The sequence below is a fragment of the Homo sapiens genome, chromosome 1, assembly GCF_000001405.40.
Source record: "Homo sapiens chromosome 1, GRCh38.p14 Primary Assembly".
NCBI classification, from domain to species: domain Eukaryota; kingdom Metazoa; phylum Chordata; class Mammalia; order Primates; family Hominidae; genus Homo; species Homo sapiens.
Window position 1 is genome coordinate 108,325,544 of NC_000001.11, and position 15,179 is coordinate 108,340,722.

The window sequence follows — 15,179 nt, forward strand, 5'->3', positions numbered from 1 at the left end:
TCTTTTTTATGGCTGCATAGTATTCCAGGGTGTATATGTACCACATTTTGTTTATCCCGTCTATCATTGATGGGGATTTAGGTTGATTCCATGTCTTGACTATTGTGAATAGTGCTGCCATGAACATATGTGTGCATGTGTCTTCGTAACAGAATGATTTATATTCCCTTAGGTATATACCCAGTAATGGGATTGCTGGGTCAAATGGCATTTCTATCTTTAGGTCTTTGAGGAATCACCACACTGTCTTCCATAATGCTTGAACTAATTTACACTCCCACCCACAGTGTAAGTGTTCCTTTTTCTCCACAATCTTGCCAGCATCTGTTATTTTTTGACTTTTTAATAATGGTCATTCTGACTGGTGTGAGATGGTATCTCATTGTGTTTTGATCGTTTCTCTAATGATGAATAATGTTGAGTTGTTTTTTTCATATGCTTGTTGGCCACATGTATATCTTCTTTTGAGAAGTATCTGTTCATGTCCTTTGCCCACTTTTTTATGGGGTGGTTTGTTTTTTTTTTTCTTGTAAATTTATTTAAGTTCCTTATAGATGCTGGATATTAGACCTTTGTCAGATGTGTGGTTTGCAAAAATTTTTTCCCATTCTCTAGGTTGTTTGTTTACTCTATTGATCTGTTGTTGATCTGTTGATAGTTTATTTTGCTAACAAATTTTTATATTTTTAACTTTCATATTACACTTAAAGTAATTTGTGCATCCCCATTACAATGTTACATTAATATATATTTGTCTATATATTTACCTTTTCCTGTGAGATTTATTGTTACACATGTTTTTGCATTGCTGTTTGGCATATTTTCTTTTCAATTTGAGGAATTCTCTTAAGCATTTCTGTACAACAGGTATAGTGTTGACAAACTCCCTCAGTTTTTGTTTGCCTGGGAAATATTTTATCTGTCTTTCATTTTAAAGTGTAATTTTTCCAGGTATAGTATTATTGATTGACAGAGTTTTTCTTCTTTAGTGCTTTGACTGTATCATTCCACACTTTGCTGTTATACATCTTTTAGCTGAGAAATTAACTAATAGTTTTATAAGGGTCACCTTATATATGATGAGTCACTTTTCTTTTACTGCTTTCAGAATTCTCTTTGTTTTTCACCTTGGCAATTTAATTTGATCCTAAAGTGTCTTAGTGTATTCCTCTTTGGGTTGATCCTGTTTGGGGAATCTTTGAGTTTCAGGAGCCTGGATGTCCATTTCCCTTTCAAGATTTGGCAAGTTTTCGGCCATTGTTTCTTTAAATAAGCTCTCTACTTCCCTTTTATCTCTCTTCTCCCCTTTTATCTCTCTTCTCCTTCTGGAACTTCCATAATGCATATATTGATTTGCTTGACGGTGTCCCATAAATTCCATAGAATTTCTTTTTTCATTCTTTTTTCTTTTTTCTCTTCTGGATAATTTCAAATGACCTGTCTTCAAGTTGACATATGTTTCTCTAGCTTGCTGAACTTCTTTAAAACAATTACTTTGGGTTATTTGTCAGGCAATTTGTAGATCTCCATCTCTTTGGGTCCAGTTACTAGAAAATTATTATATTCTTTTGGTGATGAAAAGTTTCCATGATTTCTTCCTGTGTTCTTTGTAACTTTGTGTTTGCATTTAAACATTTGAAGGAAGAGTCACTTCTAGGCTTTACAGACTGGCTTTGGTGGGGGAAAACCATCGTCTGCAGGTAGGTGTGAGGGTGTGGATGGCTGGAGTGCGGCAGCTTTGGTTAAAGGGGAAGTATAGCAGCATAGACTGCAGGCATCTCCATCAGCTTAGGTCCACATCAGCAAAGACTGCAGTGGTCCCTGGCGACCAAGGTTAAAGGTGCCTGCAGTGACAGTGAGGGCTGATTAGGTCCTCTGTGGTGAAGGCTGCTGGCATGCCCTTCTCTCCTTTTCACTCATGGGGAGAAGTTGTGGTTGAGAGGATCCCTCTTTGTACTAGGGTCTGGGATACAAGGGTACTCATAGTGGTGGTGGTGCCATTGTCCAGGACACACAGAGTGGCAGTGGTGCCTAGATCTGGAGTGTAGAACACACAAACTGTCTGTGTGTTATCGGAATCTGAGGCACAAGTATGTGTGGGGCAGTGGTGGTGCTAATGTTTGGAATGCAGGCATGAGTGGAACAGTTGCCGAGCTGGGGTATGGGGGTATGTGCTGGATAGTACATGGCTCTGGCCTGGACGGGGCACAGTGGCAGCACTTTCTGGTTGTGGGGCACAGAAATGTGTACTTCAGGCAGCTGTCAGCTGAGGGAAGCACTGGCAAAGGCTGTGGTAGTCCTTGGTGGTGAAGGCTGCTGGGGTCTTTCTGCTCTTGTTTCCTCCCACCAGAGGGCAGTTATGACCTGGGAGATCTCTCTTGGTGCAGAGCTGGACAGGACTGAGAGTTAGGGTGACAAAGGTAAAATGCTTCCTGTGTTTTCCTTTGTGGTCAGTCTCAGCTTTGTGCTCCATTGGGTTGTTGCAGCTCCTTCATTGTACTCTGGAGCTCTCTCAAAGCTATTTTAATCGGTAGGTAGTTTAAACATTGTTTTTGTGGGGGACTAATGTTGAGACCTTTTAGTCCACCATCTTGCTAACACATCCAGAAATCTATTATTTCTTATCTCTTAATCAGTATTGCTGGCCAGTCATCTTTTGCCTGGACTACTGCCATAGATTCCCAACTGGTATCTTCATATCTCCAATCCATTTTTCACACTGCTACCAGAGTAGTCTCTTAAAAAGATAAATCTGGTTATGTCATCTCTCTACCTTAAAACCCTCCACTGGTCACTCATTTCTCTTAATTGCAACATCTAAAATCCTTATTTTGACTAGCAAGGTGCAAAATGACTTGGCCTCTGCCCTCTTCTTCACTTTCATTCTTCTTTGCAGCCAAACTGGCTTTTTTTTCACTTATTCTAGTACACTATGCTCCTTTTTATTTCAGGTCCTTCTCATATGCTGTTTCCTCTACCCAACAGGAGGGAATTATAACCAATACTATTGTAACTGTTCTCAAAGCTATACTTGATATTTGTTATCTCATTTGGCCAGTACTTTGGCTAGTTTTTTGTTTGGTGGGTAACATGGGCTTTTATCCCTGAGGAATCTGAACTTTTAGTTGCTTTGTTCTTCTCTCTTTTTGTTTGCTATCATTACCCCATTCACTGTTACCACTATGCAGTAAAATACCATATATATAAGTGCTCACCTATGTATCCTTGGGCTTTACCATATCAGTGAAAGGTGACCTGACTTTTACCTTCCAGCATCTAAAATCTATTTGCCTAAGGTCTTCCTCTGGCCTCTGGAGCCTGTTCTGTTTCTGGAAATGGCAGGCTGGAAATGATAGGGAATGAAGGCCCCTGGGAGCAGCTTTCACTAATAAGTGATGGGCATTAGTAGATGAATACCCTAATGCCCTTGTTCACTTGGGTAGGATAATTCTGAAGTCTATGGTCTATATTATTCCCCAGAAGTTCTTAACAAGATTAAGCCCCAGTTGCATATCATTGCAGCTTGCTTAGTAACACATACTTTATCAGCTTTCGCTATTCCCTTTCTCACATCCTCAGTCCCCTACCAATATGTTCTAGCATCACCTCCAATGCCTTGTCTCAGGGTTGTGAAGCAGGTTCACTGTGCATTGGTTACTCTACCACTTGCATGGTTCTGGTGAGACAGAACACACACAATAAATTAAGCGAAGGAACTTTATTACTCATAGATAGGCAGTAAGGGCCAACAGTAGCGTAGAATTCATGGCAAGCCAGTCCCCCAAAGCTCAGGAAGTCCATCCAGGGTGGATGGAGTCTTGTCTACATGTGTCCCATGTTACACTGCAGCTGAGAGACTCTGAAAGGCACTCAGCTCTGGGTTTTATATTCAGGGGCAACTTGGCATGTGGGCTAGTGCTGTAGAATATCCTGTTTTAGGAGGCTTGGTGACTGAGCCCAGGCTAGTCTGGCCAGTTACCCCTATCTCAGGATGTTGCATTTCCAGCACATTCTACAGTTATTCTTGAGAACTACAAGCAAGAAAGGGAAGAGCTTGGTTGTCAAGGTCATCAAAGGACTTGTCCTGCAAGAATCTATTAGTATTATGTCTGTTACAGTGATCTGTGGTCAGTGATCTTTGAGATTATTATAGCAACATCTGATTTTTGCAGATAGCCAAGCTCTTTAGTATAACCTTATTTTCTTCTGTTGGGTTACAGAAGCAGGTGCCTTTCAAATCTGAAGTGCCATGTTTCTTGACTCTCAATCCAGGCAAAGAAAGCTCCCTTAGCAGAGCTCTATTCCTCCCACTTCTGCTTGTAAAGTGGCTTTGGAGAAGGCCTTGGGGCATAAATTAGAGCAATGTTTTAGCATTGTCTCATAGATCTTCCTTAAAGCAGCAAGGAGCAAACAACACTAACAACATTCTGAGATTTTACAGTGAGGTTTCCTAGAACTTCAGGCTCACACAGTCTACCTTCAAAATTATCACAGGAGGCAGTTCAGTCAAGCATTTCCATAAAACATCAAAAAGGTCATCACCTTCTTAGCCTGTAATGTCTGTGTCCTTTCCTAACAATAAAGCAAGTGCCACATATTTTAGCTTTCAGTTATGGCAGCACCCTATATCCATGAACAAATTTCTATACTTGTTAGGGTTTATTCTAAGCTATTGTAACAAAAAGATTCCAAAATACAGTAACTTCAATAAGATAGAGGCAAGTGATCCAGGGTTAACATTACAGCTCTGCCATTTTCAATACAATTTGGCTTCAAAGGTTGTACCTGTCTTTACCATTTCCTAGGTAGAGGAAAGACAAGTGTCTTTAAGGTGATGTCTCAGAATTTGTATATGCAACTTCCCCTCATAGCTCATTAGCCAAAATTAGACACCTAGCCACATAACCTATCTAAGAAGGAGAAAAAGGAAATGTAATGTGTAGCCGAGTCAGCCCTGTTACTAAAAGGAAGACATATAAATGAATAAAAGGAATATTATATCTAGTATTCATTATAAAGAATATGCTTACTAGAGCTATCTTGGATTCTAAGTGGTTTTCCAGTTTTAATCTCAATGAAAGTTGACTTTAGTTCCTGTGAAGCCTTATCTAAAGGTTAGATTTACATTTTCTTTTTCTCCACATGTGTTCTTGTGATATACTAGCTATTACTTAGGCTAAGGAGTAAAGTGTTTCTCTAAAAATAAAAATAAAAAGGCTCTCACATTAAGTTACTATTCCTGACTATCCAGTAACTAAACAATATTGAGTGCTTTCTGTATGTAAAGTGTGGTGCTGAAAAGCGATAAAAGATATGATCTCCGTCTCATTTGTGTCATTTATATGCCTCTTATGTAATAGAACATTCATAAATATGCATAAAGTGATTTAATATTGTCAACTTATTCTACCAAAAAAAGGAAGCGAGACTAAATGAAAGGGCTTTACTTATTATCTTAGATAATCAATTGCATAAAAATGAAAGGAATTCTGCTAGGTTGTGCTAATATTGGGTATCTAGTATACTTTTAAATATAATTTTATACTACTAATTAATTAATGTCATAAATATAGAAACAATATATATCTTGTTTCACTAATATTATACATTTCAATTTTTTTATACAGTATAAGAAATTGCTTAGTTTTGATGGTGTTCATTTAGGAATTCTTGAAAGATTTATATTTGGCTCATTGGCTGGTGTAACTGCCCAGACCTGTATTTACCCCATGGAGGTATGTATTATAAAATTTTAACTAAAGTCATACTTTTAATGCAAATTATAACTTTTTATAAATGAATCTCAGGTAAGTATTTTGTACAATAAGCAGCTTTATAGCCATAGGATTAAAATCTTATATCAAGAGTGAGTTGGTGGTCAGGCACAGTAGCTCACGCCTATAATCCTGGCACTTTGGGAGGCCAAGGTGGGTGGATCACCTGATTCGGGAATTTGAGACCAGCTTGGGCAACGTGGTGAAACCCCACCTCTACTAAAAATACAAAAATTAGCAAGGCATGGTGGTGCATGTCTGTAAAAAAAAAAAAAAAGTCAGCCTCAGTAGATTTTATGGTTGTTGTTTAGGACACAGGTATTACTGTATATGAACCAAGAAGATAAACAATTTTGTTGATTGATTGATTGATTGATAGAATCACTTATTCATTCAGTGAGTAAATTTGTATTGTACACCTACTAAGTTTAAGGTATTTTGCTAGGCGCTATGCAGGATCGAGAGAAGAGTCATACAGGGATTTTTGGCCATGTAGCTTGTAGTCTAGAAGGGGAAATAAAACATGCACATCAATAATAATCTAAAATAAAAATGATAAATTATAGAAAGATCAATATGAAGTGCTATGGAAATTGAGAAGGGGAGAAATTATTTCAAGCTGGGGATCTCATGAAAGACATGAATAGAGGCTGGGTGTGGTGGCTTATGCCTGTAATCCCAGCACTTTGTGAGGGTGAGGCAGGTGGTTTGCCTGAGCCCAGGAGTTCGAGACCAGCCTGGGCAACATGGTGAAACCTCATCTCTACAAAAAATACAAAAATTAGCCAGGTGTGATGAAGTGTGCCTGTAGCACCAGCTACTCGGAAGGCTGAGGTGGGAGGATCACTCTTCTGTCAGGAAGTGAAGGTTTCAGTGAACCATGATTGCACCATTGTACTCCAGCCTGGGCAACACAGCAAAAAAGACTAGAAAGATGGGAAGACCAGATGCAAGATATTACCATCATTCGGGGAACTGATAATAAGAGTTCGAAATATGATGGTGACTAGGGGAAATTAACTCATGATAGAGCTGTCTTGAGAACTGTCAACTCGAAAAGTAGAAAGCAGGGGAAAGGAAGAGGGCGAAGTTCTATTTGGGTCCTGTGCCTGAGTGTTTAGGAGAGTTGCATCTGAGTTACATCTTGAAAACAGGTAGAGAACGGGAGGAAGTGAGCCAGACTCAAGAGAGGTGATGAGTTCAGATTTATGCGTATTTAAACTGAGCTGTTGATGGGACCACCAAGTTATGATTTTCAGTAGGCCGTTGCAAATGTGATACTGAGACTTAAGATTTCAAGTGTTGGTGTGTCACCTGAGAGAGGTGTTATTTGAGGCCAGGAGATTGCCTATGAAAAAGTAATGATTTAAAAAATGCTGAGAAGATGACTTTTGAGAAGGCCTTAATTTAGGGAGTGAGAGGAGAAAAACATGCCAGTGAAGCAGACAGAAAAGATTTACTTGGGTAAGAGGAGAGTGCACTGCCCTGGAGAGGATAGAGTTTTAAAAATGGGACTACCCAACGTGTCTAGTTCCGCAGAGAAGTCCATAAAACAAAAGGCTTCCTACTGACCACTCAGAGGCAGCCCCGTCAAGATACACAGTTTTCTCAATCAAGACAAAGTTTATACTTAAAAAAAATTTTAGCTTTTATTTTAGATACGAGAGGTACATGTCCTGGCTGTTTTAGAGAGCCATTTCTCCAAGCATGTATAAAGCACCTTTAAATTAATAGAATTAAGATGACAAGGAGTGAGACTCTATCAGGAGAATGAAATTGTGCATAGGAATATTGATCATATACAGCCTACCTGGGCCTACTATTGTCCTTATAGCTTCTGGAATATCAATACTTTATGAGCACAGAATGAGCCCAAGTTATATAAAATTGCAGTCTATGGGCCTCACTGTTAAAATAGTTACCAGAGTATGTACTTTAAGCATATGTAGAATGTTTTATTCATACTGGTTCTTTATTTTAACATGACCATATATGTTTTACCTTGAATTTTGGCTGTTTTCTTTTTTCCGAAGCAATGATGAATTTATTTCAGAACATGTTGCCTTTCGGCACATTAAAGGAATTTGCATGGATATATCACTCAAAGACACTGGGATTGATTTTATTTTCCTGCTTGAATAATTTTAAAATATCTCTGTACTGTATCAGTTGTTCATAAGTAAGAGCCAGTTATTGAGAAGTTACAATCATGTTTACAATTGTTTTCTTTTATGATTTCTCTGATTTATAAACATCATGAGATAATGCAAATCCCTGGATTGCTAAATAAGATGGGTGAATCTGATCAATATATCTTTCTTATATTCTTTCACATTTAGGTACTAAAGACCAGACTGGCTATAGGTAAAACTGGAGAGTATTCAGGGATTATTGATTGTGGCAAGAAGCTTCTAAAACAAGAAGGTGTCAGATCCTTTTTCAAAGGTTATACTCCTAACTTGCTAGGCATTGTACCTTATGCCGGCATAGATCTTGCTGTTTATGAGGTGAGTTTATTCTCATAATATGACAATTATATGTTAGATTTGCAAATATGGAACAACAATTTTTATTGTAGAAATATGGTTATAAATGACTTTTCATTAAAACAGCTTCTGACAAAGAGTGAATTGAATGGTTTTATTTGATTTTTCATTTTATATGTTACATATCTGGTATTCTAGTAATAATTTTTTATTTGGTTTTTTTTGTGAATCAGTTTTTGGTAATAATAATGTTAAGTTCTGATAAAACAGTGGTTCTCAATCCTGGATGCATATCAGAATCACATACATATGGATCTTTAAAAAATAGGATTCTTGGGCCACATCCTGAGATATTCTCATTTAATTATCCCGAGGAGGTGGAGTGCGGTGGCTCAGGCCTATAATTCCAGCACTTCAGGAGGCTGAGGGGGTTGGATCCCTTGAGCCCAGGAGTTTGAGACCAGCCTTGGTAACATAGTGAAATCCCATCTTGACCAAAAATACAAAAATTGGCCAGTCTCATAACTTGGTCTCAAAATAAATAAATAGATTTAAAATTTTTTAAAAATTATCCTGAGGAGAGGCCTAGGATTCAGGTTTTTTAACTGCCCAGAAAAATCTGTTGTATAAGTAAGACTGTGAAAGCTGAGATATTATCACACAGCTGTAAAAATGAGAATGGAGGATAGGAGTAATTGTGGCTTGAGGAAGAAAGGCAGGATGGAGATAGGACAAAAAAGCTGATAGTGTAATGCAGAGGCAGGATGCCAGCTTACTCCCCTTTCAACTGATCATTTCATTTCTATGGCCATACATCTGTTTCAGGAAGAGCATCTTAGCAATATATATACCATTTTGTCATAAGAACCAGGTGAAGGTGTGTGATTAGAATAAATTCATTCTCAGTGGAGGAAGGACAGTTCTCTAGATACAAGCCCAGTGGAATTTTTGGCAAGTGGTGTCATCATCAAGTGAAAGACAGATAACTTCCTTTAGCACTTTTACAAGTACACTTATATTTTCGTAGATGTTTAAAGTATTGAATATTATAGCAGGCATTTATTTTTCTTTTTGTTTTCTTGCATCTATGATCTTATTACAATAAGTTTGTTGCTGCTGTTTGTGTTGGGCTGCCTTCATTCTTTGATTTCTATGGTTCAGTATCTTCTGCTTTACACATTTGCCAGATGCCATTACACATCTCTCTTTGTATTGTTACATGACTGTAATAAGTGCATACTGAGTAAAGACATTTCAAAATTTATTTTTTCAAAAGCATCAAATTATACATTTTGTAGTAATCATTGCAGTGCATAATGGTAAAGTTGCTGTCCTTTAATAAATAAACAGTTCTGGAAGCACTTAGTGATGTTTTAAACTCAATATTTCTTAATTTCTTCCAGTCACTTTTATGCAAGAAAAAGAAAATAGGGAAAGAGGACTCTTAAAAGTTGAGAAAATGTGATTTTGTTAACCTGGAGTGGATTGTGTAGTCTTCCTCTCTAAAATATTGTGTTGATCCCTGTGAGAATCTCCAGGTTTTTGTTTGAATATAATTACAAACCAAAGAACAAGCAAAGCAACCCCCCCCCCAAAACAAAAAAACAAAAACAAACAAACAAAAACACCAAAACCCAAAACAAAACGCAGGGGAACTCAAACTGAGGCTGTATGAATATGTTGGTTTGAAAACATTAGTTCTCCCTGTCCCTGATAAGACTACAGGAATAGAGGCCGGGCGCGGTGGCTCACGCCTGTAATCCCAGAACTTTGGGAGGCTGAGGCAGGCAGATCACAAGGTCAGGAGATCGAGACCATCCTGGCTAACACGGTAAAACCCCGTCTCTACTAAAAATACAAAAAATTTAGCCGGGCATGATGGTGGGCGCCTGTAGTCCCAGCTACTCAGGAGGCTGAGGCCGGAGAATGGCGTGAACCCGGGAGATGGAGCTGAGATTGCGCCACTGCACTCCAGCCTGGGCGACAGAGCAAGACTCTGTTTCACAAAACAAACAAACAAACAAACAGAACAAAACAAAACAAAAAAAAAACTACAGGGATAGCCCCCACCTTACTAAAACTTTATTCCATTTAGAGTTGCATAGTAGTAGGTTTTGTTTTCTATTTCATAGTATTTGTGCAGTAATATATTTACTACTCTCTTTTCTGCCAGATTTTGAAGAATTTTTGGCTAGAAAATTATGCAGGAAACTCTGTGAATCCTGGGATAATGATTTTGGTGGGATGTAGTACATTGTCTAATACTTGTGGTCAGTTAGCCAGTTTCTCTGTGAACCTTATTAGAACTCGCATGCAGGCTTCAGGTGAGTTTTTTTTTTTTTTAAAAGAATGAATAATAAGTTTAAAATTATGTTTTAAATGAGTATAAATTAATGACTTCAAAGACAAAAACTGTAGAATTGATAAGCAAGAATCCCGAATTTATTATTTTACTGACTAAAGCTTTTTGTGCATTTTAGATTTTATTTCCTCTCAAAGTATTGTTTGGAATTCTCCACATTTTCTTCAGTTACTAATGATCTCTTTAAGGAGTTTACAATTAGAAAGTACCATGCAGAACAATAGAAAAGATTATAGTTTTTTCAAATAAACAGTTATTCCATATGATCGTGTAATTTTACCCTAGTTCTGTTATTATTGTCATATTCTGCAACTGGAACTTAATACATTTGTGGAATTGAACTCAATTTTTTTTCCAATTTACTTAAGGAAGAGATATTAAGAAAAGGGAGGATATCTGTTTTGTCTTAGTGAAATGTTAGGAATTTAGTTTTTAAGAAAATATCTTTATCACTTTTCAAGAAGGCAAAAACCCCCACACAATCCTATTGTTATCTTCTTGACTAAACTGTTTAAAGGTCATGTGTTAAGTGATATTATTTTACATTCTCCTTCTTCTTGTCTTTTTAGTTAGATTTTTGGTTTTAATTTACATTCTCCAGGTGGAGAATCTCTCTATCCATCCCATCACCCATCCTTTCCTCTCTAACTATTTGTGTCAAATCCAATTCCAAATATTCCTTTGAGGTCCCTCATGAAAGACTTTCAAGTGTTGTTTGATAGAACTTTCTGTGATGGTGGAAATATTTTATATCTGTGCTATTCAGTATGATAGTCACTATTCCCAAGTGAATACTTGGGATTGTTACCAGTGCAACTGAGGCAATGAATTCTTAGTTTTATTTAATTTTAATTAATTTAAATTTAAATAGCTGCATGTGTCCAGTGGGTACCATATTGAACAGCACAAGACATTCTACAGGTAGGGAGAGAGGTATATTCTGAAGTAATTTCAATCTCTGTAAATTCCCATTTATCATTGGATTTTCTTAATTTATAAATATTAAATATTGAATTATACTTTTTTCCAATTTATAGCCCCAGTGGAAAAAGGAAAAACAACTTCTATGATTCAGCTCATTCAAGAAATATATACCAAAGAAGGAAAATTGGGATTTTACAGGGGTTTCACCTCAAACATCATAAAGGTGCTTCCTGCAGTAGGCGTTGGCTGTGTGGCCTATGAGAAAGTGAAGCCACTTTTTGGATTAACCTGGAAGTGATATATAAAATTGTTGTCATTGTAATCACTTAATTGTAAGATAATACCTGTGTTATAAAGAGATGTTATCTTTTCCTAAGAGGAAAGAAATGTCAGATAATTGTTAAAATATTTTTTCATTATTACAAAATACATAAATTAAATAATAATTTTTATAAAGTTCTTGAATAAGTTAAAATATTTAATATCCAAAGAATACTATTTACATTTTCTACTACTCTCCCTTGAATCCTAATTTAAAATTTGTTCTTGATTTGATTTGAATGTAACATAAAACATTTGGTCAGTTATAGGAGTTTATCTTTGAAAACGTTTTTACATTTGAAAACTTATTTTAAAAAAGCTGAGCTTGAAAATGCTTTATACACTAACAGAAAAATCAGTGCATTTAAAATTGATGTTATAGCAAATAATTTGGAGTCTGTTTCTTTTACTTAAGCAAAATGGAAAATTGGTTTCTAATTCCTTCTATCACATTTTAGATGGAATAACGATAACATCTTTCTTACATCTCCGGGCCTTTTTATTTGTAAATGTGAACACTGTTGGTTCATTTTAATTCTTGATATTTTCAGCTTATATAAGGAAGTTGGCATTGATAACAAATCCAACACTGGACAAATTTTATTTATCTTCTGGTTGAAAACATTCAAGTGAAAGAATTTTATATATTAAATCCATTATCTTATAGTTGTTGAAGCAATTCTTACTTCAGCGTTGATGCCCTAAATATCTTCTCTTCACTTTTATAAAAAAAATTATATTCTTTCCTGGGATTAAATAAATGAGTGGAGAGACAGTGGTAATGGGCTGATTGGACACTAACAGGCCTCAAATGAAGGACGCCTGGCTCAACTGACTGAAGTCCAGGCTTTGATTTTTAGCCTTGATGGCCCAAAAGTTTGACCTCATTAATTTCCTTAAAATGATCAGTTTTTTGGTACTAGATTAACAAAAATTGCTCACAGGATTGAGATATAGATCACAAAGCAAACCCATTAATTTATAGTGGTGTTTAATACTTTCCATTAACCAAAGAACTTTCATCCCTTCTCCAGGGCACACTGTTTCCTAGTGTCAAACTACTTGGAAACCTAATAGGTAATAAGAAGACTGATGTGGAATTAGAACAAAGAGAAGAAGATACTTTTGAGGAATATTTTAGTCAGGCCCATCCCAGTTAAGGTGGGAAGAGTTGGGAACCTTGCATACAAGGGGAGAGGAGCTGAGAACTAAAGTAGGAGAGTGGAAAGAACTGTGAAACTTGAGCTAAATTAAGCCACAGATCAACAGAAGAGAGAAAGGTAAATCTTATGTGAACCCTGGGGGAATGGGTGTGTAAGAAATTTGAGTGATGGCAGTAGTTGTTTTAAAAAGCATTCCAAGTTGATGAAACAACTTGAACAGTAACATGAAAATGGAGTTCATGGAACATTGGGAAGATTGCAAGTAACCTGGTCATTTGAAAATGTATAGTATATAGGAAGATATAGTGAGCTACAAGGCTACTGCTGTAGGTTGGCAATAGGGGCTTTGGATTATATATGCTAATAACATTCTCTAGTGTAAGAAGGTAACTTTGACAATAGAATGAAACCATTGAAAGAAGAGATAGGGCCAGGTGTGGTGGCTCACACCTGTAGACCAAATGCTTTGAGAGGCTTAGATGGGAGGATCACATGAGGCTAGGAGTTCATGATCAGCCCGGTCAACAAAGTGAGACTCTGCCTCTACAAAAAAAATATAAAAAATTAGCATGGTGGCACATGTGTGGAGTCCCAGCTACCTGGGAGGCTGAGGCAGGAGAATCACTTGAGCCCAATAGTTAGAGGCTGCAGTGAGCTATGATTGTGCCGCTGCACTCCAGCCTGGGCAGCAGAGCAAGAATCCATCTAGTTAAAAAAAAAAAAAAGGAGATAATAGAGCCAAGGAGATCAATTCAGACATTATTACCATAGATCTAGTTAGAAAATGCTGGCTTCTAAGTAAAAGACTTCTCTTTAGAGTAGGTAGAAGTCTAGGCTTTTTGATTATTGTATCGAGGTCAAAGTCTAATCTGTCTTTTTTGAAATTAGAAAATTAAAATTTATTAAGTGCCTGATATGTGCCAAGTACCCTTTCAAAGCACTTTTAAAGATTCTCTTGCTTAATTCTATCAACTCTACTAGGTTGAGATTATTATCCTGATTTTCAAATGAAGAAACTAAGTTTAGAGAGGTAAGTGCCCTAAGCAAATCTCCTAACATTTCCCCCTTTATGAAGGATTGTGCTCATTTCTCACCTTCAGGGCCTTCATTTTGCGTAAGATCCTGCTGTCAGCCATAATCTTGGCTGTGACTTGGATATTTTGTAAAAAACTTTAAAAATGATGATTTAGCCCACATTCTTAGTGTGCAGCCTCTCAGTTCTCTTTGAGTCCAAGCCTGACTGATACTCTTCTTGCTCTTAAGTACTGAGAACGCTTGACAGATAACCTTTATGTAAAAATGGTTATCACAATGTAACATGAACACTGAGACTTGAATCTAGAATGAATCAAGAAGAAATGCCAGCAATTCTTTCTAAGCATTGGAGAGAAAATAACTGGATAATATTATAAGATCTGTGGTATCAGAAGTTGAGTTTAACACAGAGGCACATTTCTGTGTGGTTTCTCAGATAGCACAGTTTAAAGATCAGCCTCCCCATGGGTTACCTTGCAGGCCTGTGACACAAATTAGTAAAATTCTGTCTCATGGCCCCTGGGTTACTGTGTTTCACTCAGGCCCATCCCAATTAAGGTGAGAAGAGTTAGGAACCTTGTATACAAGGGAAGAGGACCTGAGACCTAAAGTAGGAGAGTGGAGAAAATTGTGGAACTTGAGCTAAATTAAGCCAGAGACCACCAGAAGAGCGTAGTAGAATGTTATATTATGTGATTAAGATTTTTGGCTAGGAATTAAATATAAAGAAGACCATAGCAGTTGTCATCTGGGAGATGGTTGGGATTAAGTGCCTATTGAAATTTTTGACTCCAAGAAATCTGCACCTCATCCAGAAAGATAAAGAACTCTCTGGACAAGTACAGAATCCTTTCAGGAATGTATTTGCAGTCCACAGAAGCAAAACAGTAAGCCCTCAGATCTCTAGAGTACTGTAGTAGAGTGCCCACTTCCCTAGTTTCATGCAGAGCCCGTGTTTCTGAAGGCACTGCTGGATGTTTTGATACTCTCACTCTGCTCAGACTGCATATTTTAAAAATTAGTTTATTGACCCATTTATTTTAAAGAAAGCAGCCGAGAAAGTCATAGCATATTGGTCATAATATGCTAAAGGAGGGTTATAAACCTTTGCAGA

The 15,179-nt window shown here is 37.1% G+C and overlaps 1 pseudogene, besides 1 other annotated feature; it reads left to right on the forward strand.

The window, feature by feature from the left end:
• SLC25A24P1 (SLC25A24 pseudogene 1) overlaps positions 1–12,310 on the forward strand; it is a 64,715-nt pseudogene extending 52,405 nt beyond the window's left edge.
• Positions 9,905–10,082: a silencer, noted in NCBI's record as "fragment chr1:108878070-108878247 (GRCh37/hg19 assembly coordinates)". NCBI's record gives its function as "represses an EF-1alpha promoter that drives an FKBP-Casp9 reporter gene in an ReSE screen in HepG2 liver carcinoma cells {active_cell/tissue: HepG2}" and the evidence as "EXISTENCE:reporter gene assay evidence [ECO:0000049][PMID:32094911]".